The sequence below is a fragment of the Homo sapiens genome, chromosome 18, assembly GCF_000001405.40.
Source record: "Homo sapiens chromosome 18, GRCh38.p14 Primary Assembly".
NCBI lineage: Eukaryota > Metazoa > Chordata > Mammalia > Primates > Hominidae > Homo > Homo sapiens.
In genome coordinates, this window is record NC_000018.10 from 46,104,378 (window position 1) to 46,130,046 (window position 25,669).

General features: G+C 41.2%; 1 protein-coding gene and 1 pseudogene across 2 annotated transcripts, besides 1 other annotated feature; one reads left to right on the forward strand and one right to left on the reverse strand.

Moving 5' to 3' along the window:
* Positions 8–23,956, forward strand: HAUS1 (HAUS augmin like complex subunit 1). Of its 2 annotated transcripts, none has more exons than NR_026978.2 (9): positions 8–64; positions 817–1,031; positions 13,804–13,939; positions 15,549–15,683; positions 18,090–18,213; positions 18,922–18,987; positions 20,445–20,516; positions 21,367–21,414; positions 23,698–23,956. NR_026978.2 is itself a non-coding variant. In NM_138443.4 (9 exons), the coding sequence occupies exons 1-9, from the start codon at positions 35–37 to the stop codon at positions 23,746–23,748; spliced, it is 837 nt and encodes a 278-aa protein (NP_612452.1). In that variant the 5' UTR covers positions 8–34; the 3' UTR covers positions 23,749–23,956. The 2 variants fall into 2 exon arrangements, 1 of the variants encoding a protein (NP_612452.1); NM_138443.4 differs by having other exon boundaries at positions 817–991.
* Positions 323–412: an enhancer, noted in NCBI's record as "active region_13271". NCBI's record gives its function as "activates an Ori minimal core promoter by ATAC-STARR-seq in GM12878 lymphoblastoid cells {active_cell/tissue: GM12878}" and the evidence as "EXISTENCE:reporter gene assay evidence [ECO:0000049][PMID:35858748]".
* Positions 17,238–17,344, reverse strand: RNU6-1278P (RNA, U6 small nuclear 1278, pseudogene; annotated as a pseudogene).
* Positions 23,957–25,669: the final 1,713 nt, after the last annotated feature.

Consider the following 25,669-nt stretch of genomic DNA (forward strand, 5'->3'; position numbering starts at 1 on the left):
AGGAGTTCCTAGTAAAGTGGCGGGAGCCGCAGCTATGGAGCCGCAGGAGGAGAGAGAAACGCAGGTGATGGGGCGGGAATGGGGATCGTTGGCCTCCTGGAAAACGCGTTTTTGACACCCCCGCGCCGACAGCGGGTCTCCTGTGCGCGCCACGTCTACTTTTCTCTCCCCTATTCCACACATCCGTCTTTTAGTGCCGCCGTCACTATCTGCAAGCCCCCCGTGCTTAGACTCTCCTGAAGGCCTTTCCCTTCCTGCCCGGGCCTCCCCTTGTTTGGATCTGGCCCGGGAGAGGCGTTGAGCAGCCCGTGTCCACAGACTCTGGAGTGGGACTTATGAAGCCAAACCCGCCTTCCGGTTCGCTGCTCAGCCCGGCGGCTTCCACATCTGAACTGCTTCCGCGCCCTGCATCCCAACACTGGGAGCCTCCCGGCGCGGCGGGGCTTCTGGTGATCGAGGGACAATTGCTTTTTTCAGACCATGCACGGTCTAATAATGCGTTCGCATTATTATGGTCTATTAAGCTTTAAGGTTTTTCAAGCGAGGCAAATTGTTAGCCTGTACCGCTTTTGCAGATTTGGAAAAGAACGGATTGTTCTCTGGTAATTTTCAGTATTGTACGTTTCTTTGTGTACTTGCTCACTTTTTATTTCCTGATATCTAGTATCTCCCTAAAGACAAGTGAGGTTGTGAAGTAGGACTCCAAAATAGTCACAGAAAGCATTTAGTTTGCTTTTGATCACTTCTTTGTCATATTCTCATCGAGCCATTACAGTAAACAAGGCTTATAATATTTGTCTTTCTTTTAATGGTTAGGTTGCTGCGTGGTTAAAAAAAATATTTGGAGATCATCCTATTCCACAGTATGAGGTGAACCCACGGACCACAGAGATTTTACATCACCTTTCAGAACGCAACAGGGTCCGGGACAGGGATGTCTACCTGGTAATAGAGGACTTGAAGCAGAAAGCAAGTGAATACGAGTCAGAAGGTGAGATTAAGTCCAGAGTTTTGAACGAGAATAAATAGAGGTAACCAAATTTTATAACACTAAAGTATACAGGATTAATTTACTGTAGACTACTTGTTTTGCTCCTTTATTTTTCCCAGATTTTCTTCCACTCTGTTATAGTAGTAACTTTATTGTTTTATGTTTATATATATGTATATGTATGTGTGTGTGTGTGTGTGTGTGTGTGTGTGTGTGTGTGTGTGTATATATTTTAGACAATCTTGCTCTGTCGCCCAGGCTGGAGTGCAGTGGTGTGATCTCAGCTCACTGCAACCTCCATCTCCTGGGTTCAAGTGATTCTCATGCCTCAGCCTCCCAAGTAGCTGGGACTACAGGCCTGCACCACCACACCCGGCTAATTTTTGTGTTTTAGTAAAGACAGGGTTTCACAATATTGGCCAGGCTGGTCTCGAACTCCTGACTTCAGGTGATCCGCCTGCCTCAGCCTCCCAAAGTGGTAGGATTAGAGGCATGAGCCACCCTGCCTGGCCAGTAGTAATTCTCTAAGTAATAAATGTTATTATACTAAATATCTTATTGGTACTCTGATAGCAAAACAGTAAGCCTTAAAAGAGTCTAAACTTGTTAGTCTGACACACAAGATGCCTTGTGGTTTTTTACTTACCTATCTGTTTTTTCTGTTTCCGGTCTCCATGATTTAGTCATACGGACCTATCAGGACACCTGAGGTGGTGGCCATGAAATGTGAGACTTGGACGAAATTACTCTATGACTACGTATCAGGAGATTGCATTAGAATTTTCTGCTGGGCATATATAGTTTGAAAAAGTGCATTCAAGGCCGGGCACGGTGGCTTACGCCTGTAATCCCAGCACTTTGGGAGGCCGAGGCGGGCGGATCACAAGGTCAGGAGATCAAGACCATCCTGGCTAACACGGTGAAACACCGTCTCTACTAAAAATACAAAAATTAGCCGGGCGTGGTGGCGGGCGCCTGTAGTTCCAGCTGCTCGGAAGGCTGAGGCCGGAGAATGGCGTGATCCCAGGAGGCGGAGCTTGCAGTGAGCCGAGATCGCACCACTGCACTCCAGCCTGGGCGACAGAGCAAGACTCCGTCTCAAAAAAAAAAAAAGAAAAAAAGAAAAAGTGCATTCAAGATGCCTATTGTTTTGATAATACAAACCACAAAAGTAAAGATTGACAAAAATCTTTTTAGATACGAGAATACACCAAAGAGAGGAAGTGAGGCCTGCATTTGCCCTATATTTAATCAGATGTATGGTATTTGTTACATATGATATTTTGAATATAGTGCAGTTTATATTTGATTCTATTGCATATGTGCTTTTTTCCAGTTTTCTTTTAAAAGTTAATATACAGCAGGGCCAGGTGCAGTGGCTCACGCCTGTAATCCCAGCACTTTGGGAGGCCAAGGTGGGCGGATCACTTGAGACCAGGAGTTTGAGACAAGCCTGGCCAAGATGGTAAAACCCCGTCTCTACTAAAAATACAAAAATTAGCCAGGTGTGGTGGTATGTGCCTGTAATCCCAGCTACTTGGGAGGCTGAGGCGGGAGAAATTCTTGAACCCGGGAGGTGGAGGCTGAAGTGAGCAGATATCACACCACTGCACTCCAGCCTGGGCAACAGAGTGAGACTCTCTCAACAACAAAAAAAAATTAATTAATTAATTAATTAAAAATTAACATACAGTAAAATTGACTTTTTATTTTTGTGTACCATTTTAATACACTTAGAGTGTAGAACCACTCTCACAATCTGAAATCACACAATCAAGATGCAGAACAGTTCCATCACCCCAAAAACCTCCCCTGTGCCACTCCTTTATAGCCATATTCTCCCATATATGTGCTTTTAAAATTGTCTTATTTTTAAATGATTTTATTTTTGTAATTATTAAAATACAGTGCAGAGAAAGGGACTTGGAGCCCAGAAAAATCTCATTTTATAAGAGCTTTCTTTTTTGTCTATCATATACTGTAACCAAAAATCTAAGGATTTCAAAGTAAAATTATTTATGTCTGTCCTTAAATACCTTTCAGGGTGATACATATTAAATAACAAATGTTCTAACTAATGTATGCAAAATTTTAACACAATTTTTATGTCTAGGTATCTAGAAGAGCATTGCCACCATTGAGATCTGATAGCTCTATGCATCATTACTTCTCTTTTCTAAGTTTTTCCTTCTTTTATACAGTGAAAGTGTTGAGCAGAAAATGAAAAATATGTGGAACTTTATAACAAGTGTACATTGATGTGTATTGGTAAAGAGTTTCAGCTTCCTCCATTTGCGATTCTAAAAACTGAGTAGTAATGCCATCTATAGCTCGCTGGACTTGAATGACCTTTGAGTTAAAAATAATCCAAATCATTTTTTAGGTGCAGTTTTTATTTCTGCAAAGCACAGTTCTTTACAGCACATGAGATTGGAACTTTTGGAAATATTTGCAGGAATTGGGAAAGGACATAAAACTTTTAGATGAAGTTTTGTTGTTGTTTTTGTTTTTTATAGTGGAGAGACAGAGTCTTCCTATTTTGCTCAGGCTGGTCTTGAACTCCTGGGTTCAAGTGATCCTCCCACCTCAGCCTACCAAGTAGCTGGGATTATAGGTGCACACCACGTGCCTGGCTGTGTGGAGATTTTTAATCATGAGGAATACAAATGAAACTATTGAAACTATTCATTCTTCGTGCCACCTGTTTGTCACTTGAGGAGGCAAATGAGAAGAAATTGCCCTGGCTAGAACCTCCAATATGATGTTGGATAGAATTGGCAAATACAGACTCCTTGTCTTGTCCCTAATCCTAGACAAGAGAGAATCCAGTCTTCACCATTAAGTGTAATGTTAGCTGTGGGATTTTTGTAGACACCCTTTGTCAATTTGAGGGAATTTACTTCTTTTTTTTTTTTTTTTTTTGGTAACGGAGTCTTGCTCTGTCACTAATTTTGTATTTTTACTAGAGACAGTGTTTCACCGTGTTGCTCAGGCTGGCCTTAAACTTCTGACCCTGCCTCACCCTCCCAAAGTGCTGCGATTTATAGGTGTGAGCAGCCACTCCTGGCCCACTCTAATTTTTATTATTTAATTCCTTCGGCTTGCTTTTGGTTTAGTCTGCTCTTCTTTTTTCAGTGTCTTAAAATGGAAAGTTAGGTTATTGATTTGAGATTCTTCTTCTTTCTTAAAATAGGAATTTACAAGTACAAATTTCCCTCCACATACCATTTGCAATGTATTTCATAAGTTTTGTTGCATTGTACCTACATTTTCATTCATATCAAAGTATTTTCTAATGTGTTTGATTTCATCTTTACCTGTTGGTTATTAGGAGTGTGTTGTTTAATTCCACTTTGTATTAGTCCGTTCTCAAACTGCTATAACGAACTACCTGAGACTGGGTATAAAGAAAAGAGGTTTAGGCCCCGCATGATGGCTCAAGCCTGTAATCCCAGCACTTTGGGAGGCCGAGGCGGGCGGATCACAAGGTCAGGCGATCAAGACCATCCTGGCTAACACGGTGAAATCCCGTCTCTACTAAAAATACAAAAAATTAGCCGGGCATGGTGGCGGGCGCCTGTAGTCCCAGCTGCTTGGGAGGCTGAGGCAGGAGAATGGCATGAACCTGGGAGGTGGAGCTTGCAGTATGCTGAGATCGCGCAACTGCACTCTAGCCTGGGAGACAGAGCAAGACTCCGTCTCAAAAAAAAAAAAAAAAAAGAGAAAAGAAGTTTAATTGACTCACAGTTCCACGTAGCTGAGGAGGCCTCAGGAAACTTACAATCATGGTTGAAGGTGAAGGGGAAGCAAGGCACGTCTTACTCACTATGCCAGAGCAGGAGAGAGAGACAGAGGGCATGAAGCTGGAAGTGCCACACTTTTGAACCATCAGATCTGGTGAGAACTCACTATCACGAGAACAGTAAGGGGGAAGTCCGCCCCCATGATCCAATCACCTTCCATCAGTCCCCTCCCCTGACACGTGGGGATTACAATTCAACATGAGATTTAGGTGGGGCCACGGAGCCAAACTATATCACACATATTTGTGAATTTCCTAAATTTCTTTCTGTTATTGATTTCTCATTTCATTTCATTATGACCAGAGAATACATTGCATTATTTTGATCCTTTTAAATGTATTGACATTTGTTTTATGGCCTAGCATAAAGCTGTTCTCTCCTGAAGAGTGTTCTATGTGCCCTTGAGAAGTATGTGTATTCTCTTGTTGGGTGGAGTATTCTTTTTCTTTTCTTTTTTTTTTTCCTCCCGAGACAGAGTCATGCTCTGTCGCCCAGGCTGGAGTGCTTTGGTGTGATCTCAGCTCACTGCAACCTCCGCCTCTTGGGTTCAAGCAATTCTCCTGACTCAGCCTCCTGAATAACTAGGATTACAGGCACATGCCACCGTGCTCAGGTAATTTTTGTATTCCTAGTAGAGACAGGGTTTCACCATGTTGGCCACACTGGTCTCGAACTCCTGACCTCATGATCCGCCCACCTCGGCCTCCCAAAGTGCTGGGATTATAGGTGTGAGCCACCACGCCCTGCCTCAGTTGCTTTTTTAATCAGTTAAGGGAAGAAAGTAGAAAAAATATGCATGTATGCTGTCTTTATAATTCCATAGTTACCATTACTTACAGTCTTTGTTTTTTCATATGCATTCAGATTACCATTTGGGGCTATTTGATTTCAGCCTACAAAACTTCCCTTAGTTCTTGTAAGTTGAGTCTGCTAGCAACAGATTCTCTGTGGTTTTTCTATCTAGCAGACTTTATTTTGTCCTTTTTTTTTTTTTTTTTTTTTGACACAGAGTCTTGCTCTGTCACCCAGGCTGACGTGTAGTGGCATGATCATAGCTCACTGCAGCCTCGAACTTCTGGGCTCAAGTGATCCCCCTGCCTCAGCCTCCCAAGTAGATAGGACTACAGGTGTAAATCACCATGCCCAGCTTATTTTTTTAAGGTTTTTTTTTTTTTTTTTTTTTTTTTTTTTAGATGGAGTTTCACTCTTGTTGCCCAGGCTGGAGTGCGGTGGCGCAGTCTCGGCTCACTGCAACCTCCACCTCCTGGGTTCAAGTGATTCTTCTGCCTCAGATTCCCAGTAGCTGGGATTACAGGCATGAGCCACCACACCTGGCTAATTTTGTATTTTTAGTAGAGGCAGGGTTTCATCATGTTCGCCAGGCTGGTCTTGAGCTCCTAACCTCAGGTGATCCACCCATCTGACCTCTCAAAGTGCTGGGATTACAGGCGTGAGTCACCAACCTGGCCTTTCAAATTTTTTTGTAGAGGTGGGATCTTGCTATTTTGCCTAGGCTGTGCCTTCATTTTTTAAAGGTAGTTTTGCTAGGTGTAGGGTTCTTGGTTGAAGATTTTTTTCTGTTTGAGCACTTTGAATGTGTTATTTCACTGTCTTCTGGCCTACATTATTTCACCAAGAAGTCAGCATTAATCTTACTGGGGTTTCTTTGTAAGTAACAGGTAGTTTTTTTTTTCTCTTGCTGCTTTCAAGATTTTCTTTTTTTTTTTTTTTTTGAGACGGAGTTGCCCAGGCTGGAGTGCAGTGGCGCATTCTCGGCTCACTGCAACCTCTGCCTTCCGGATTCAAGCGATTCTCGTGCCTCAGCCTCCTGGGTAGCTGGGACTACAGGCATGGGCCACCATGCCTGGCTAATGTTTTGTATTTTTAGTAGAAACAGGGTTTCTCCGTGTTAGCCAGAATGGTCTTGATCTCCTGATCCATCCACCTCGGCCTCTCAAAATGCTGGGATTACAGGCATAAGCCAATGCACCCGGCCTCAAGATTTTCTTTTACTTCAGCATTTTTTACCCTAATATGTCTGTTTGTAGTTCTCTTTACATTTATTTTACTTGGATTTGTTGAGCTTCCTGAATGTGTATATTATTGCTTTTGAATGAGCATGGTAAATTTTCAGCATTGTTTCTTGTTATATTATTAATGTTATTATTTTTGAGACAGAGTCTCACTCTGTTGCCCAGGCTGGAGTACAGGAGCTTGATCTCGGCTCACTGCCACCTCTGCCTCCCCAGCTCAAGCAATTCTGTCTCAGCCTCCTGAGTAGCTGGACTTACAGGCATATTTCACCACACCTGGCTAATTTTTGTATTTTTAGTAGAGACGGGGTTTCGCCATGTTGGCCAGACTGGTTTTGAACTCCTGGCCTCAAGGGATCCTCCCACCTCAGCCTCCCAAAGTGCTAGGATTACAGGTGTGAGCCACAGCGCCCAGCCTAATTTTTGTATTTTTAATAGAGATAGGGTTTCACCATGTTGGCCAGGCTGGTCTTGAACCCCTGACCTCAAGTGATCTGCCTGCCTCGGCCTCCCAAAGTGCTGGGATTACAGGCATTAACCACTGCACCCAGCTAATTTCTTGTTATATTATTTTCACTTCTTTCTCTTTTCTCTCCTTCTGGTACTTCCATTATGCGTATGTTGGTATGCTTAATGGTGTTCCACATTTCTCTGTGGCTCTCTTCATTTTCTTTTCTTTTCTTTTTTTTTTTTTTTTATGAGATGGAGTCTTGCCCTGTTGCCCAGGCTGGAGCGCAATGGCACGATCTCAGCTCACTGCAACCTCCGCCTCCCAGGTTCAAGCTATTCTCCTGCCTCAGCCTCCTGAGTAGCTGGGATTATAGGCATGCACCACCACACCCGGCTAACTTTTTGTATCTTTAGTAGAGATGGGGTTTCACCATGTTGGCCAGGCTGGTCTCGATCTCCTGACCTCGTGATCCGCCAGCTTTGGCTTCCCAAAGTGCTGGGATTACAGGCGTGAACTACCGCACCTGGCCTTTCATTTTCCTTTGTTCTTTTTTTCTCTGTTCTTTGGCTTCCATATATATATAATATATATATAATGTGTATATATATTCCATATTATATATATAATATATAATGTGTATATATATTCCATATTATATATAATATATATAATGTGTATATATATTCCATATTATATATAATATATATAATGTGTATATATATTCCATATTATATATATAATATATATAATGTGTATATATTCCATATTATATATATAATATATATAATGTGTATATATTCCATATTATATATATAATATATATAATGTGTATATATTCCATATTATATATATAATATATATAATGTGTATATATATTCCATATTATATATATAATATATATAATGTGTATATATATTCCATATTATATATATAATATATATAATGTGTATATATATTCCATATTATATATATAATATATATAATGTGTATATATATTCCATATTATATATATAATATATATAATGTGTATATATATTCCATATTATATATATAATATATATAATGTGTATATATATTCCATATTATATATATAATATATATAATGTGTATATATATTCCATATTATATATATAATATATATAATGTGTATATATATTCCATATTATATATATAATATATATAATGTGTATATATATTCCATATTACATATATATAATATATATAATGTGTATATATATTCCATATTATATATATAATATATATAATGTGTATATATTCCATATAATATATATAATATATATAATATGTATATATTCCATATTATATATATAATATATATTCCATATATATGGAATATATATATTCCATATTATATATATAATATATATATTCCATATTATATATATAATATATATATTCCATATATATATATATATTTTTTGAGACAGGGTCTCACTCTGTTGCCCAGGCTGGAGCAGTGGCGGAATCTCAGCTCGCTGCAGCCTTCACCTTCTGGGTCCAAGCGATTCTCATGCCTCAGTCTCCCAAGTAGCTGGGACTACAGGCGTGCAACACTATGCCTGGCTAAGTTTTGTATTTTTAGTAAAGATAGGGTTTCACCATGTTGCCCAGGCTGGTCTCAAACTCCTGACCTCAAGTGATCTGCCTGCCTTGGCCTCCCAAAGTGCTGGGATTACAGGCGTGAGCCACCATGCCCAGCCCATAATATCTTTGATCTATCTTCAAGTTCACTTATTCTTTCTTCTGCCGCTGCAAATCTAGTGTTAATTCTCTCTAGTGAATTTTTCAGTTCAGTTATTGCACTCTAGAATTCCCATTTAGTTCTTTTCTTACAATTTCTCTTCATTGATATTCTTTATTTGATGCAACATTGTCATCTTACCTCATGTTCCTTCTTTAATTTGGTTTCCTTTAATTCTGTGAACATGCTTATTATGGATATTTGAAGTTTTTCCTGATAAAGCCAACATCTTGTCATTCTCACAGGCAGCTTCTGTTGCTTGCTTTTTTCTATTACAGTTCCTGTCTTATTCTTTGCATTCCTCTTTTTTGTTGTTGTTGTTGTTGCTGGAAACTGGACATTTCAGACAACATATTGTATCCTTGCTAGGTACTAATCTTACTTCCTCCTGTTATTGTTATTGGCTTACCTGTCTGATTGCTAGCTGGATTATTTTAATGAAGTCTGTTTATCCCCAACAGAGTTAAACTCCTGATGTTATCAGCTCCTCAGGGAGACACATACTTGAGTATCTCCAAGGTCACTCTGAGTTGACAGTGTTTGGGTCAAGCTGACTTCCTCTCTTTCACTGAGCACACCTGACTGTAAAATTCCACTAATTTACAGCTGTTGTTTTCAACAATGCCCTGGGCATAAACTGCTCTACGAGCAATTCCAATCAAATTCTAGCTCTCTTAGAGGAATAGTTTCTGAGGTCAGTTAGATATTTGTTTTATCTTCTGGATGGCTCTCCTAGATGTCTTAACTACAAACTAATTGCCCTACAGTTTAGCCTGTATCTTGAATCTGCTCCCAATTTCTTTGACCACAACTTCTACTCTTTTTGAGATTGCCCTTAGGCTTGAACCTTTCTAAGCTCTGTTGCAAATGTAGTCAGTTCCTTTGGGAAGAGATGGAGAGCCATCTGTTTTATGACTTGATTTTCCCATGAGGCAAAATCTCTGAACCCAGCCTCTGGAGTTGGGGTTGGAGGTAGGTAGGGAAAATGTCAAGTTTGTCACTGAGCGATATGCCAGCTATAGGAACTGCTTGGTAGAGAGGGAGTGCGGCAGCCTTAGGTCCTCTTGGCTTGCCTCTCCTGGTGTGGAACCACCACCTCACTAGCCGGAGCAAGGGCCATTGGGACTCCAGTATTCTCAGCTTGCCTTACTCAAGGAGCTTCCATTCCAAGAGCAGTGGCTGGGCAGACACACCTCTCAACCACATCCCGCTGGGACTTGGACGCAGTAGCAGATAGCTAGTGGCAGGATGAAAAACACTAAAGTCTTGCTTCTCCCAGGAAGAAGGCCTTCCAGCTGGGAGCTGGGAGCAAAGAAAGCCCCATGTTGACTGCAGCTGTCTGGAGTGGAGTCTCCACCTCAGTGAGCTGGAAGGGAGGAGGGAGGGAGGAGTCTTGGTTCAAATACCACAAATTCTCAGTGTCCTTACTGAGTTTTTATAGATTTTATTGAATAGTTGTTTCTTCATTTGCTGTGTACCCTTAGGACCATTTTTAGAGGCTTTAAATGCTTGGGTTTGTTTTCTTTCTTTCTTCTGATTTTCACCAGTTTCACAGAAGAGCAGGTCAGCCCAACTCCCACACTATTATGCTGGAAGTTGATCTCCTGGTCAATTGAATTTTGACAAGGGTGTAACAAGACAATTCAACGGAGAAAACAATAGCCTTTTCAACAAAAGGGACAACTGGATATCCATATGCTCAAGAATGAAGTTGGACTCAAACTCACACAAAATAGAAGAATTCTCTCAAAATGAATAAAGCGCCTAAAAAGGCCAGGCACGGTGTAATCCCAGCACTTGGGGAGGCCGAGGTGGGTGGATCACCTGAGGTCAGGAGTTTGAGACCAGCTTTGCCAAATGGCGAAACCCCATCTCTACTAAAAATGCAAAAATTAGCCAGGCATGGTGGCATGTCCCTGTAATCCCAGCTACTAGAGGGGCTGAGGCAGGAGGATCACTTAAACCTGGGAGGCAGAGGTTGCAGTGAGCCGAGATTGTGCCACTGCACTCCAGCCTGGGAAACAGAGTGAGACTGCATCTCAAAAAAAAAAAAAAAAAAAATTAGCCAGGGGTGGTGGTGCACGCCTGTAGTCCCAGCTACTTGGGAGGCTGAGGTGGGAGGATTGCTTGAGCCCGGGAAGCAGAGGTTGCAGTGAGCCAATATCGTGCCACTGCACTCCAGCTTGGGTGACAGAGTGAGACCCTGCCTCAAAAAAAAAGCCTAAAAAATATGAGCTAAACCTAAAATGCATAGAAGGCAACAAAGGTATATACCCTTGTAACCTTGGATTTGGCATTGGTTTCTTGGATATGATGCCAAAAGCACAAGCAAACAAAATAAAAAGTATATAAATTAGACATCATCAAAATTTAAAACTTTTGTTCTCAAAGGACACCATCAAGAATATGAAAAGACAGGCTGGGCATTGTGGCTCACACCTATAATCTCAGCACTTCGGGAGGCTGAGGCAGGTGGATCACCTGAGTCTCAAGTTCAAGACCAGCCTGGCCAACCCTGTCTCTACTAAAAATACAAAAATTAGCTGGGTGTGGTGGCACATGCCTGTAATCCCATCTACTTGGGAGGCTGAGGCATGAGAATCACTTGAACCTGGGAGGCAGAGGTTGCAGTGAACCGAGATCGTGCCACTGCACTCCAGCCTGAGCAACAGAGCGAGACTGTCTCAGAAAAAGGGAAGGGAAGGGGAGGGGAGGGGGAAAAAGGAAAGAAAGAAAGGGAAGAAAGGAAAGAAAGAATATGAAAAGAGACAGTCCTCAGAATGGGAGAAAATATTTGTAAATATATCTGATATGGGACTTGTATCTACAACATGTAAAGAACTCTTACAACTCAATAATAAAGCCTGGGCACAGTGGCTCACACCTGTAATCCCACCACTTTGGGAGGCTGAGGCAGACAGACTGCTTGAGCCCAGGAGTTTGAGGTCAGCCTAGGCAACATGGCGAAACTACATCTCTAAAAAATTACCAAAATTAGCCAGGCATGGTGGTGCACACCTGTAGTCTCAGCTACCTGGGAGGCTGAGGTGGGAGGATCACTTGAGCCCAGCAGGTGGAGGTTGCAGTGAGCTGAGATTGTACCATTGTACTCCAGCCTGGGTGACAGAGCAAGACCCTGTCCCAAAAAAAAAATAACGACAAAAAAAACCAAAACCTCAATAATAAAAAGACAACCCAATTTTAAAATGGGCAAGGGGTATACACAGACATTTCTCCTACGAAGATACACAAATGGTCACAAAGCACGGCATCATTAGTCATCAGAGAAATTCAAATCAAAACCACAGTGCTAGGCTGGGCACAGTGGCTCACGCCTGTAATCTCAACACTTTGGGAGGCCAAGGCAGGCAGATCGCTTGAGTCCAGGAGTTCAAGACCAGCCTGGGCAACATGGCAAAACACCATCTCCACAAAAAAATACAAAAATTAGCCAGGTATAGTGGTCCACAGGTACCTGTGAGGCCAAGGTGGGAGGATCATCTGAGATCGTGCCACTGTTCTCCATCCTGGATGACAGAGTGAGACCCTGTCTCAAGAAAACAAATACCACAGTGCCACTTCACAGTCACTAGGATGGCTATAATCAAAAAGACATATTGCAACTGTTGGAGAAGATGTGGAAAATTGGAGCCTTCATCACTTCTAATGGGAATGTAAAATCATACAATCACTTTGGAAAACAATCTGACAGTTCCTAAAATGTTTAAACATAGAGTTAACATATGACCAGCAATTCCACTTACACCCAAGAGAAATGAAAACATATGTTCATATCAAAACCTAACATTTACTGAATAAATGTTTTTAGCAGCATTTATAATAGCCAAAATGTGGAAACAACCCAAATGTCCATCAGTGGTTAAGTGGATAAATAAAATGTGATATGTCCGTATAATGGAATATTATTCAGCCATAAGAAGGAATGAAGTACTGGTACATGCTGTGGCATGGATGAACCTTGAAACTATTGTGAGAGAAGCTAGTCGCAAAGGACCACACATCTTATGATACCATTCATATGAAATGTCCCAAATAGGCAAATGAATAAAGACAGGGAGTGGTTGCTAGGGTTTCATGGGTTGGTAGATTAGGAAGTGATGACTAAGGGGGCCGGGTATGGTGGCTCACACCTGTAATCCTAGCACTTTGGGAGGCCAAGGCTGGCAGATCACCTGAGGTCAGCCTGGGCAACCTAGCGAGATCTAGTCTCTATAAGAAAAAATAAACCGGGGGCAGTGGCTTACGCTTGTAATTCCAGCACTTTGGGAGGCCAAAGTGGGCGGATCACGAGGTCAGGAGTTTGAGACCAGCCTGGCCAACATGGTGAAACCCCATCTCTACTAAAAATACAAAAAAAATTAGCTGGGCATGGTGGTGGGCGCCTGTAATCCCAGTTACTCAGGAGGCTGAGGCAGGAGAATCACTGGAACCCGGGGGGTGGAGGTTGCAGTGAGCTGAGATCGTGCCACTGCACTCCAGCCTGGGCAACAGAGCGAGACTCCATTTCAAAAAGAAAAATAAAGAAAAATAAAGTGATGACTAAGGGATGTAGAGTTTCTTTTTGGAGTGATGAAAATGTTTTTAAGAATAGGTTGTACTGATGGGGATACAACTAAAAGCCACTGAATTACATACATACCTTAGGTGGGTGGATTATATGCTATGTGAATTATGTCTTGATAAAGCTGTTAAAAATTTTTAAAAAAGCAAACAGTCACTATGGAACTCTTTCATGTTTTTAGCCAAGTATCTTCAAGACCTTCTCATGGAGAGTGTGAATTTTTCCCCCGCCAATCTCTCTAGCACTGGTTCCAGGTATCTGAATGCTTTGGTTGACAGTGCGGTGGCCCTTGAAACAAAGGATACCTCGCTAGCTAGGTAATTCTTATGACAGTTTTAATTTCCGCAATCATATCTGCTATAAGGTCTTAAAGACTTTTTGTTCTCAGCATAATTCTATATGAAAAATTGGCAATAAATACAAAGCACTGAATTTAGTTACTTCATGTCTTTGCCAGTGAGTATAATTAATTTGGATAAATATGGTATTGGTTAATTTTTAGTGTTTTCTTCTTCCAGGATTAGATTTATGAAGGGTGGTTCTCATGTATATTTGGAAAGGGGTTAGTATCACATTGTTCCCTGTGTATAATAAGAAAGATAGTAGGCTAAATGATTTGGTTGAGCATAATAAATTTTGGTTATGTCTACCTTTTTGTTAAGTAGGTCAGGAATTTTCATTCTTTTTAACAGGCATTTTACTTATATAATAACATGATTCTTCCAACAACCTTTAGAGGAATCAGGAGGTGTGGGTTAAATAATTTATCCGAGCTACTAAATGGCAGAGCTGAGATTCAAAACCAGTCTTATAAAGTTCATATGACTACCACTTTTGGCCATATCTTAGCTAGGACTACTAATATTTTGTTTTAGTTTTTGTTTTTGAGACAGAGTCTCATTCTGTCACCCAGGCTGGAGTGCAGTGGCGTGATCTCGGCTCCCTACAACCTCCGCCTCCCGGGGTAAAGCGATTCTCCTACCTCAGCCTCCCAAATAGCTGGGATTACAGGCGCCTGCCACCATGCCTGGCTAATTTTTTTTGTATTTTTAGTAGAGACAGGGTTTCACCATGCTGGCCAGGCTGGTCTCAAACTCCTGACCTTGTGATCTACCCACCTCTGCCTCCCAAAGTGCTGGGATTACAGGCGTGAGCCACTGCGCCCGGTAGAACTACGAATATTAATACAACTTATCATAATCAGAGAACAACACAGCAGAACAGCTTACCTGTCAATTTAAAGGCAATTTATGTATAAGCTCAAAGAGTAGTGTTTTAGGTATAAGAGCATCCCTACTGTATGGCAGCAGAAATCTAGACTTGAATTAAATAAGTTCAGCAGATAACAAATACCAGTTGTATGTTAGTTGTATAAGCACTGGGGAAGCAGGGATGAATCATATAATTTCTTGCCTTTTTTTTTTACAAATAATGTGTATTTTAGAATTTTTTAAACTTTTTTTTTATACTTACATACTATCATACAACTTAAAGTCACATTATGTTTTGTGCCTTCTTACTATAGCTCTGTTATAACTGGGGAAGCGAGATGAATACGATAGTAACTTCCTTAAAGAACAGTCTCTGCTTACAGTCAAATAAGGGAGATAGAAATGTGACTATAACATAGTGTGACAGCTGTAACAGTAAAAGTATGTACAAGGTATAGCTGGGTAGCACAGAGAAGGAGGTAGTTAATGCCAGGATGACAGGGACGCTCATCTGAGTTTTGAAGGAACAAATGGAACTTTGCCGAATGAAGAAGGGCATTCCAGGCAATGGGAACAGTGTGTAAAAAAAGGCATAAAGGTATGAACAGCATGGTTATATAAAAATCTACAGGGCAATAAAGTCATTTTTAGCAATGAGGAGTAATTATAATTATTGCCCATTAAGCCCATGTATATGACCAGATTCTTCTTTTAGTTTTATCCCTGCAGTGAATGATTTGACCTCTGATCTCTTTCGTACCAAATCCAAAAGTGAAGAAATCAAGATTGAACTGGAAAAACTTGAAAAAAATTTAACTGCAACTTTAGTATTAGAAAAATGTCTACAAGAGTAAGTAATTGAGTTCAGAGTGGTGACAATTTATAAATAAGGGAGTAATAGGACATTGTCAAATTTAGTTTTGGCAGTAGGTGTGATTTTAAAAACATTAGGAAATGGGATCCATAAAACATTTTTTTAAGTTGAATGATTAGTGGAGCTGGAGATGGTTGGATATAGACTTTTCCAGCTTTTTTTTTTTTTGAAACGGAGTCTCACTCTGTCACCCAGGCTGGAGTACAGTGGCACGATCTCAGCTCACTGCAACCTCCACCTCCTGGGTTCAAGCAATTCTCCCGCCTCAGCCTCCCGAGTAGCTGGGATTACAGGCATGAGCCACCATGCCCAGCTAATTTTGTATTTTTAGTAGAGACGGGGTTTCTCCATGTTGGTCAGGCTGGTCTCGAACTCCCGACCTCAGGTGATCCGCCCGCCTCGGCCTCCCAAAGTGCTGGGATTACAGGCGTGAGCCACTGCGCCCGGCCTGACTTTTTCAGCTTTTACTTCATACAATTTTACTTCATACAATTTCTTACCTTATTTTTTTTTCTTTTTGAGATGGAGTCTCGCTGAGACACCCAGGCTGGAGTGCAATGGTGCAGTCTTGGCTCACTGCAACCTCCACTTCCCGGGTTCAAGCGAGTTTCCTGCCTCAGCCTCCCCAGTAGCTGGGACTACAGGTGTGCACCACCATGCCCAGCTGATTTTTGTGTTTTCAGTAGAGACAGGGTTTCACCATATTGGCCAGGCTGGTCTCGAACTCCTGACCTCAAGTGGTCCACCTGCCTTGGCTTCCCAAAATGCTAGGATTACAGGCATGAGCCACCGCACCCAGCCTCCTGCCTTTTCTTAAAAACAAATAATATGGGTTTTAGAATTTTCAAAATGTATGTGATTTTTCTTATACTTAAAGTCACATTATGTTTTGTTGTGCATTCTTGCTATAGCTAGGGTATCCCTCTTATGATACTTTAGGCCTTTTTCTGTTCCTTTTTGCCCCAGAGATTAGGGCCTATAGATCAGGAGTATGTGTATATATGCACAAGTAATTTGACGGTATGTAAATTTATTCAACAAATGACTACATATGTGCAAGGCACTGTCATGTCACGTTTATTTTTATTTATTTATTTACTTATTTTATTTATTTATTTTGTTGAGACAGAGTTTCTCTCTTGTCACCCAGGCTAGAGTGCAATGGCGCGATCTCAGCTCACTGTACCCTCCGCTTCCCGGGTTCAAGTGATTCTCCTGCCTCAGCCTTTCAAGTAGCTGGGATTACAGGCACCTGCCACCACACCCAGCTAATTTCTTTGTATTTTTAGCAGAGACGGGGTTTCACCATGTTGGCCAGGCTGGTCTCGAACTTCATGTCACATTTAGTACAGAGGTATTTAGGACCTCCTATTTCAAATTGGCTTCAGATATGTTAAATTATTATTATTATTATTATTTTTTAAACAAAATTCACAGTTTATTTAGGTTGAAATAAACTATACAAAATTGACTTTCTTTGCCAAAAATAACAGCAATATTTTCCATATTATTTCTAGATAAGCCACAAAACAAAATGTGGAACACTTCACAAATTTACCCATCTTCCTTGAGTAGAGGCCACTCTAATTTTCTCTGTGTCGTTCTAATTTTAGTATATGAGCTGCCAAAGTGAGCACCAATTTTTTTTTGAATGGCTGATTTACTTTCTTCAAGAATAATTGGCTTACATTAATTGTAAAATTGTTGTAAACCTGGGCAGCATAGTGAGACTGTCTCTACAAAAAAATTATTTATTTTATTATTTTTTTTTATTTGAGATGGAGTCTTACTCTGCCACCCACACTGGAGTGCAGTGGTACAATCTCAGCTCATTGCAACCTCTGCCTCCCAGGTTCAAGTGATTCTCCTGCCTCAGCCTCCTGAGTAGCCAGGATTATGGGCGCATGCCACCATGCCTGGCTAATTTTTGTATTTTTAGTAAAGACAGGGTTTCACCATGTTGGCCAGGCTGGTCTCGAACTCCTGACCTCAGGTGATCTGCCCACCTTGGCCTCCCAAAATGCTGGGATTATAGGTGTAAGCCACTGTGCCTGGCCATCTACAAAAGATTTAAAAATTAGCCAGGCATAGTGGCATGTGTCTGTAGCCCTGGCTATTTGGGAGGCTGAAGTGGGAGGATCACTTCAGCCAAGGAGCTTGAGGCTGCAGTGATCACACCACTGCATTCAAGCCTGGGTGACAGACCAAGACCTCATCTCTTAAAAAAAAAAAAAACCCAGAGTGCAACATGGAGGGGAAGATGACCTGGTTACCAACTCTTGGCCAAGCCAGCATTGAATCCAAAAGTAGTAGAGTTTCTATTGTACAATACTTTTACTGAGAAGAAGAAGAAGAAAATGTTTTTAATTTTGCTTTTTAAAGGGATGTCAAGAAAGCAGAGTTGCATCTGTCTACAGAAAGGGCCAAAGTTGATAATCGTCGTCAGAACATGGACTTTCTAAAAGCAAAGTCAGAGGAATTCAGATTTGGAATCAAGGCTGCAGAGGTTTGTATGAAGGACCGAATATAGTTAGCTCTCTTCGGCCTGATTTTTTACCATCATCCTCACAGCTAGGCATTATTATTCCCTTTTTACAGATGAGAGGACTATAGAGAAGTTGGTAAGTTGCCCAAGATTACATAGCTATTACAGTAAGCAGATCTAGATTCAAACTCAGGCATCCAGGCTCTGAAACTCAGGCCTTACACACTGCACCCATCTTGTCACAAATGCGTGAGTGTGGAAAGGATTCACATGTAACGTACAAATGCTTAGATACATGTACAGTTTTTCATTTATACTTGTAGCTCCTCTTTACTGTGTTATATGTTAAAAATATTTGATGGGCTGGGCACGGTGGCTCACGCCTGTAATCCAGCACTTTGGGAGGCCAAGGTGGGCGGATCATGAGGTCAGGAGATCGAGACCATCCTGACTAACACAGTGAAACCCCGTCTCTACTAAAAATATAAAAAATTAGCCGGGCGTGGTGGTGGGCGCCTGTAGTCCCAGCTACTCAGGAGGCTGAGGCAGGAGAATGACATGAACCCGGGAGGCGGAGTTTGCAGAGAGCCGAGATCGCGCCACTGCACTCCAGCCTGGGTGACAGAGCAAGACTCGGTCTCAAAAAAAAAAGAAGAAAAAGAAAAATATTTGATGGTGGTCACTTTTCAAATAATTTTTTAACTGAACTCCTTTTTTTGGTAATTGTAGGAGCAACTTTCAGCCAGAGGCATGGATGCTTCTCTGTCTCATCAGTCCTTAGTAGCACTATCAGAGGTGAGCTTATTTTAACCTAATTTAACTTTCTTTAAAATTTTACTCCACAGTCTGCTTTTTCATTTGTTTCTTTTTATTCGGCTTTTATTCACTGTGGACCTGATTTCTTTTCCTTTACCTTTGTACTTTATATTCACTGGTATTTATATCTTTTATTCCTTGTTTAGCTGTATATGCCCTCACATTTGCATGGTTTCCTTTTTATTATAAGTTAGAAACTCCGCTGGAGTCACTTATGTATTATTGATGTATTTATTAAACAAATTTATTGAAGGACCATGAGCTAATCATCTAGGTGCTCCCCTTTCTTCTCTTTCAGTAGACAGTAAAATGCAGGTCTCCAAACTCCTGTAGTTACCAAATGCAATTCTGGGATTTTAGGTTATATAAAGGTTTTACCTGTTTTGGTGGGAAGAGAGAAATAGAGGGTTTTGTTTTGTTTTATTATTCTTAACGTTTTTCATACTTTGTTCTTGGAATCTAATGTTGACAATTCATAAATATGTATTTGGGATTCTAGTTCTCCCTTTACATTTTTTTCCCCTTGTTTTTATAAATAGAGATGGGGGTCTTGCTATGTTGCCCAAGCTGGTCTCAAACTCCTGGGCTCAAGTGATCCTCCCACCTTGGCCTCCCAAAGTGCTGGGGTTAGAAGTGTAAGCCACCACACCCAGCCTCCTTTATGTTTTGATTCCTCTTAATCACATTCTTTTCTATTCTAAGACAGCATACTTCAATCCTATTGTTAATAAATGGGAGCAAAGGCCAGGCATGGTGGCTCACACCTGTAATCCCAGTACTTTGGGAGGCAGAGGCAGGAAGATTACTTAAGCCCAAGAGTTTGAGACCAGCCTGGCCAAAATGGCGAAACCTCATCTCTACTAAAAATACAAAAATTAGCCAGGCATGGTGGCACATGCCTGTAATCCCAGCTACTCAGGAGGCTGAGGCAGGAGAAAGAAGAATCACTTGAACTCAGGGGGCGGAGGTTGCAGTGGGCCGAGATCGTGCCACTGCACTCCAGCCTGGGTGACAGAGCAAGACTCTATCTCAAAAAAAAAAAAAAAAAAAATTAGCCAGGCATGGTGGTGCACGCCTGTGGTCCCAGCTACCTGGAAGGCTGAAGTGGGAAGATTGGTTGAGCTGAGGAGTTTGAGGCCACCGTAAGCCATGATTGTACCACTGCACTCCAGCCTGGGCAACACAGAAAGACTCCATCTCAAAAAAAAATTATAATAATAATAATTAAATAAGACTATAACTTTCCTATTTTAAGCATCTAACAGGTGTTGTTTCCATTTGGAGTGAGTTTGTCTATCTTTGAAGCTTTTTATTCGATAACGTTATTTAAAATATACTAATGTTAATGCTTTGTTGTGTTTTATTTCAGAAATGGACAGTATTAGTTGCATTGTGAATGTTTCTATTACTCTGTGACTGTGTTCTTTTACCCCCAGAAACTGGCAAGATTAAAGCAACAGACTATACCTTTGAAGAAAAAATTGGAGTCCTATTTAGACTTAATGCCGGTAATAATTTTCGCGAATTAAAAAACAATTATTTCCTCCAACCTTCCCTGAGGGTACTATATGACCATGAAAATAGTGTGTTTAGGCCAGGCACGGTGGCTCACGCCTGTAATCCCAGCACTTTGGGAGGACAAGGCAGGCTGATCACCTGAGGTCAGGAGTTAGAGACCAGCTTGGCTAATATGGTGAAACCCCGTCTCTACTAAAAATACAAAAATTAGCTGGACCCAGTGGTGCGCAACTGTAGTCCCAGCTACTCAGGAGGCCGAGGCTGGAGAATCACTTGAACCTGGGAGGCAGAGATTTCAGTGAGCTAAGATCGTGCCACCACACTCCAGCCTGCTCAACAGAGCAAGACTCCATCTCAAAAAAAAAGGCTGGGCATGATGGCTTATGCCTGTAATCCCAGCACTTTGGGAGGCCGAGACGGGCAGATCACGAGGTCAGGAGTTTGAGACCAGCCTGACCAACATGGTGAAACCCCGTCTCTACTAAAAATACAAAAATTAGCAGGGCGTGGTGGTGGGCGCTTATAATCCCAGCTACTCAGGAGACAGGCAGGAGAATCGCTTGAACCCAGGAGGCAGAGGCTGCAGTGAGCTGAGATTGAGCCACTGCACTCCAGCCTGGGCAACAGAGTGAGACTCTGTCTCAAAAAAAAAAAAAAAAGAAAGAAAATAATGTGTTGGTTTTTAAAGGTTTAAAGTCAGTGGTAAATTTCAGTGTTATATGTACATTGGGTATCCCTCTGGGAGGATTTTTGCCTTTTGAAAAGGATTATGGCATTATTTTTCTCCTTGGGTCTGAATTGAGGCAATATAACCTTTCCTTGTTTTATTTTTTTTTAAAGAATCCGTCTCTTGCTCAAGTGAAAATTGAAGAAGCAAAGCGAGAACTAGTAAGTAGTTCCTGTAATTTTTTCAGATTTTTTTAAAAAGAAAATAAATGCTAATATAGCTAAAGTCTTCTTCATCCTTCTTTCCTTTCTCCTCAGTGGTAAGCTGCAGTCCTAAAGTTACTGTGTATCATTCTCCTGCATCTTTTAATACTTTTTTGGCTGTGTACGTGTGTATATATTTTTTCCATTAAGAAACATATAGTAGCTGGGCACAGTGGCTCACACCTGTAATCCCAGCACTTTGGGAGGCCAAGGTGGGTGGCATCTGAGGTCAGGAGTTCAAGACCAGCCTGGCCAACATGGGGAAACCCTGTCTCTATTAAAAATACAAAAATAAGCTGGGCGTGGTGATGCGTGCCCGTAATCCCAGCTACTTGGGAGGCTGAGGCAGGAGAATCACTTGAACCTGGGAGGTGGAGGTTGCAGTGAACTGAGATCACGCCACTGCACTCCAGCCTGGGGGACAGAGCAAGACTCCCTCTCAAAAAACAAAAAAACACATAGTAGTATTTTATGCCTTTTAAAATTTTGTGTACATTTCCCTAGTGGAAAAAGGGGAATATATTGAGAGATATAGAATATTCTAGGCAAAAAGAATTTGCAAAGGCATATAAGCTGAAACATGGAGGACTTACTCAAGCTGTAGCAAGTGATAAAGTCCGGCTGCTTAGAAACATGAAATGTAAGATAAAGTTGGAAAAGGTCAATTGGTTCATGATGTAGAAGGCCTTAACATATAAAGAGTGTTGAACTTAGAGGATGTAGGGACCACAGAAAGCTGCTGTGTGTTTCCTTGTTTTTTAAGCTCAAGAGAAATATGATCAAAGCTATGCTTTCTTTTTTTTTTTTTTGAGACAGAATCTTGCTCTGTCCTCCAGACTAGAGTGCAGTGGCGTTATCTTAGCTCACTGCAACCTCCGCCTCCCAGGTTCAAGCAATTCTCATGCCTCAGCCTCCTGAGCAGCTGGGATTACAGGTGTGTACCACCATGCCTGGCTAATTTTTGCATTTTTATTTATTTATTTATTTATTTATTTATTTATTTATTTATTTATTATTTTGAGATGGAGTCTTGCTCTGTTGCCCAGGCTGGATTGCAATGGCATGATCTCAGATCACTGCAACCTCCACCTCCCTGGTGCAAGTGATTCTCCTGTCTCAGCCTCCTGAGTAGCTGGAACTACAGGCACCTGCCACCACGCCTGGCTAATTTTTATATTTTTAGTAGGACGGGGTTTTGCTATGTTGGCCAGGCTGGTCTTGAACTCTTGACCTCAGGTGATCCACCCGCCTCAGCCTCCCAAAGTGCTGGAGTTACAGGCGTGAGCCACCGTGCGCGGCCAAATTTTTGTATTTTTTTAGTAGAGACGGGGTTTCACCATGTTGGCCAGGCTGGTCTCCAACTCCTGACCTCAAGTAATCCACCTGCTTTGGCCTTCCAAAGTGCTGGCATTACAGGCATGAGCCACCGTGCCTGGCCAAAGCTATACTTTTTGATCAGGTTAGTGCTTCAGAAGATTATTCTGTAGCCACTGTTGAGGGTAGATTGGGAGAAAGAAAATTGCAGAAACCAATTAGCTTATTTAGGCCAGATAAGAAGTAATGAGGACAGTGGCAATGAAAATGGAAAAGAGGCCAGGTGCAGTGGCTCACACCTGTAATCCCAGCACTTTGGGAGGCCAAGTGGGTGGATCAAAAGGTCAAGAGTTCAAGACTAACCTGGCCAAGATGGTGAAACCCCATCTCTACTAAAAATACAAAAAAAATTAGCCGGGCATGGTGGTGGGCGCCTGTAATCTCAGCTAGTCGGGAGACTGAGGTAGAGAATTGCTTGAACCCGGGAAGCAGAGATTGCAGAGTGAGCCGAGATTGTCCCACTGTACTCCAGCCTGGGCGACAGAGTGAGACTGCATCTCAAAAAAAAAAAAAAAAACACAGAAAAGAGGTGATGTGAGTGACATTGTGGAAGCACATTGTTTTAGTAGCAAAGGCCAGAAAAATTTATTCATATGTCGTTACAGATTTCTCTCTCTCTAAAGGCTTTTTTCCCTTCCCTTCACATATTTCTTAGAATCACTTAGGAGTCTGAGTGCTTTTGCAGGGGAAGAGGGGAGATGTAAAAACAAGGGAATATCTAAAAGCATATTTGATATTCATAATGGTATTTTTAAAATTTTTTGTTCTAATGTTTCCTTTTTTGCTTCCCTTATTTTAAATAACATTAAATAAAAGTTAGAGCATCTGTTTTATGTCCTTATCTATGGTATGTCTTTCTTCCTGTAGGATAGCATTGAAGCTGAACTTACAAGAAGAGTAGACATGATGGAACTGTGACAAAAGCCAAATAAACATCCTTTTCCCTAACAAAGTAAATTGAATAGGACTTTACAGAGTTCTTTTTCCTCTTGGCATTTCCTAATAACAAAACTTTCTGTGTTCTTAGATTACAGAATATCATAATTGATAGAATATGGTTTCTTACTGTGTGTTGCATTTTTGTGCCCAAATACATAGTTTTCATATTAAAAAGCCTTTTCTCTTACTTTGTTTCTGTGTGGTTGGTGGTTAAGCATCCTTCAGTAGCTCTACAAGGCAAACATTACAACAGTTGTGCATGTATTCATTAGGTCAGCTAAAGTGAAAAGGAAAGGTTCCACAGCTCCAGTATGTTTCTCCCACTCTCTTCTTTCTCCAGGGGTTTGCTGTCATTCTTTTTGATCAGCTCACTGCCTGCCTCCAAATGTTAATATATGCAGGAATTTAGTTTATGAAAAAGATGACCTTTTAAATCAGTAGTAGAAAGATGGATAATTCAACCCTTGGTATTAGGTCCATACTTCACACCTTATGTCAGGATAATCCAAAGAATCAAAGATTTAAATATAAAAAATTTGAAAATAAAGGTACTAGAAGAAATTGAAGGGAAGTTTTAACGTTTTGGCTTCTTTTTAAGAGACAGGTTCTCGCTATATTGCCCAGGCTGGCCTCAAAATCCTGGACTCAAGCAATCTTCCCACCTCAGCCTGTTGAGTACCTGACACCACAGGTATGTGCCACTGCACCCAGCCTAATGTTTGATTTTTAAATAATTGTGAGTCAGAAATGTATGACCAGAACCCAGGTGCCATAAATAAGTGCTTAAAATATTTAAATGTTTTGTTTTAAGACAGAGTCTTGCTCTGTCTCCCAGGCTGGAGTGCAATGGCATGATCTTGGCTCACTGCAGCCTCCATCTCCCAAGTACAAGCGATTTTCGTGCCTTGGCCTCTCAAGTAGCTGGGACTACAGGCGTGCACCACCACACCAGCTAATTTTTGTATTTTTAGTAGAGATGGGGTTTTACCATGTTGACCAGGCTGGTCTCGAACTCCCGACCGTAAGTGATCTGCTCGCCTTGGCCTTCCAGAGTGCTGGGATTACAGGTATGAGCCACCGCGCCTGGCCTATTTAAATATTTTGAAATAATAAAAATACCTGCATGGCAAAATCTATTGTAAGTAAAATCAAAGGACATGATAAATGTAGTACAGGAGGAGATTTTTCACTGTACCTTTTTGTGCCTTTTAAAGTTTTGTACCATGCAATTAAAAAACAATCAGCTTTAAAAAAATTATTTCAATGTCTTTAAAGCTTTTTTCTTTTTTCCTTTCCCTTGCTGTCAGCCAGAAAAAGACATTTGTATTTTCTTTTGGAAACTGTCCATATCCTTTTGCCATTTGTGTATTAGCTTTTGGTCTTTTTGTTAACAATTTATAGAAGCTTCTTATGTATTAGCTAAATTAATCTTTTGTGATTGGACTTGCAAATATTTTTCCAAGTTTGTCATTTGACTTAATTGCAGTGCTCTTCATAAGGCAATTTGATAGATTGATTGTGGAAATGACCACAATAATTCTTCTCATCTCTATGCACTCACCCCTTTGTAACATGACGTGGCTCTTTCTCCCATCAAAGGAGAATCTATACTCCACCTGCTGTATCTGGCTTGGCCCTATGACTTGTTTCGGCCAATGAGACAACAGCAGATGTGACAAAAGCAAAGGAATATAAACTATGCATTGGGGCTTGCTCTCTCTTACTTCCTTACTTCTCTTTGGAATTCCAAAACCACCATTTAAAGAAGCCTGGACAGGTCTGTTGGAGGAGAAGAAACTATATGAACAGCCTGGCATGGTGGCTCATGCCTGTAATCCCAGCCCTTTGGGAGGCCAAGGCGGGCCTATTATTTGAGGTGAGGGGTTCAAGACCAGCCTGG

Bases quoted from the DNA above. Each gene is read 5' to 3' on its own strand.
- HAUS1 (NM_138443.4), top strand. From the start codon at position 35: ATGGAGCCGCAGGAGGAGAGAGAAACGCAG. The intron at 18,988-20,444 runs GTGAGCTTATTT...TTTTACCCCCAG, and splicing joins CCTTAGTAGCACTATCAGAG to AAACTGGCAAGATTAAAGCA. The intron at 21,415-23,697 runs GTAAGTAGTTCC...TTCTTCCTGTAG, and splicing joins AAGAAGCAAAGCGAGAACTA to GATAGCATTGAAGCTGAACT.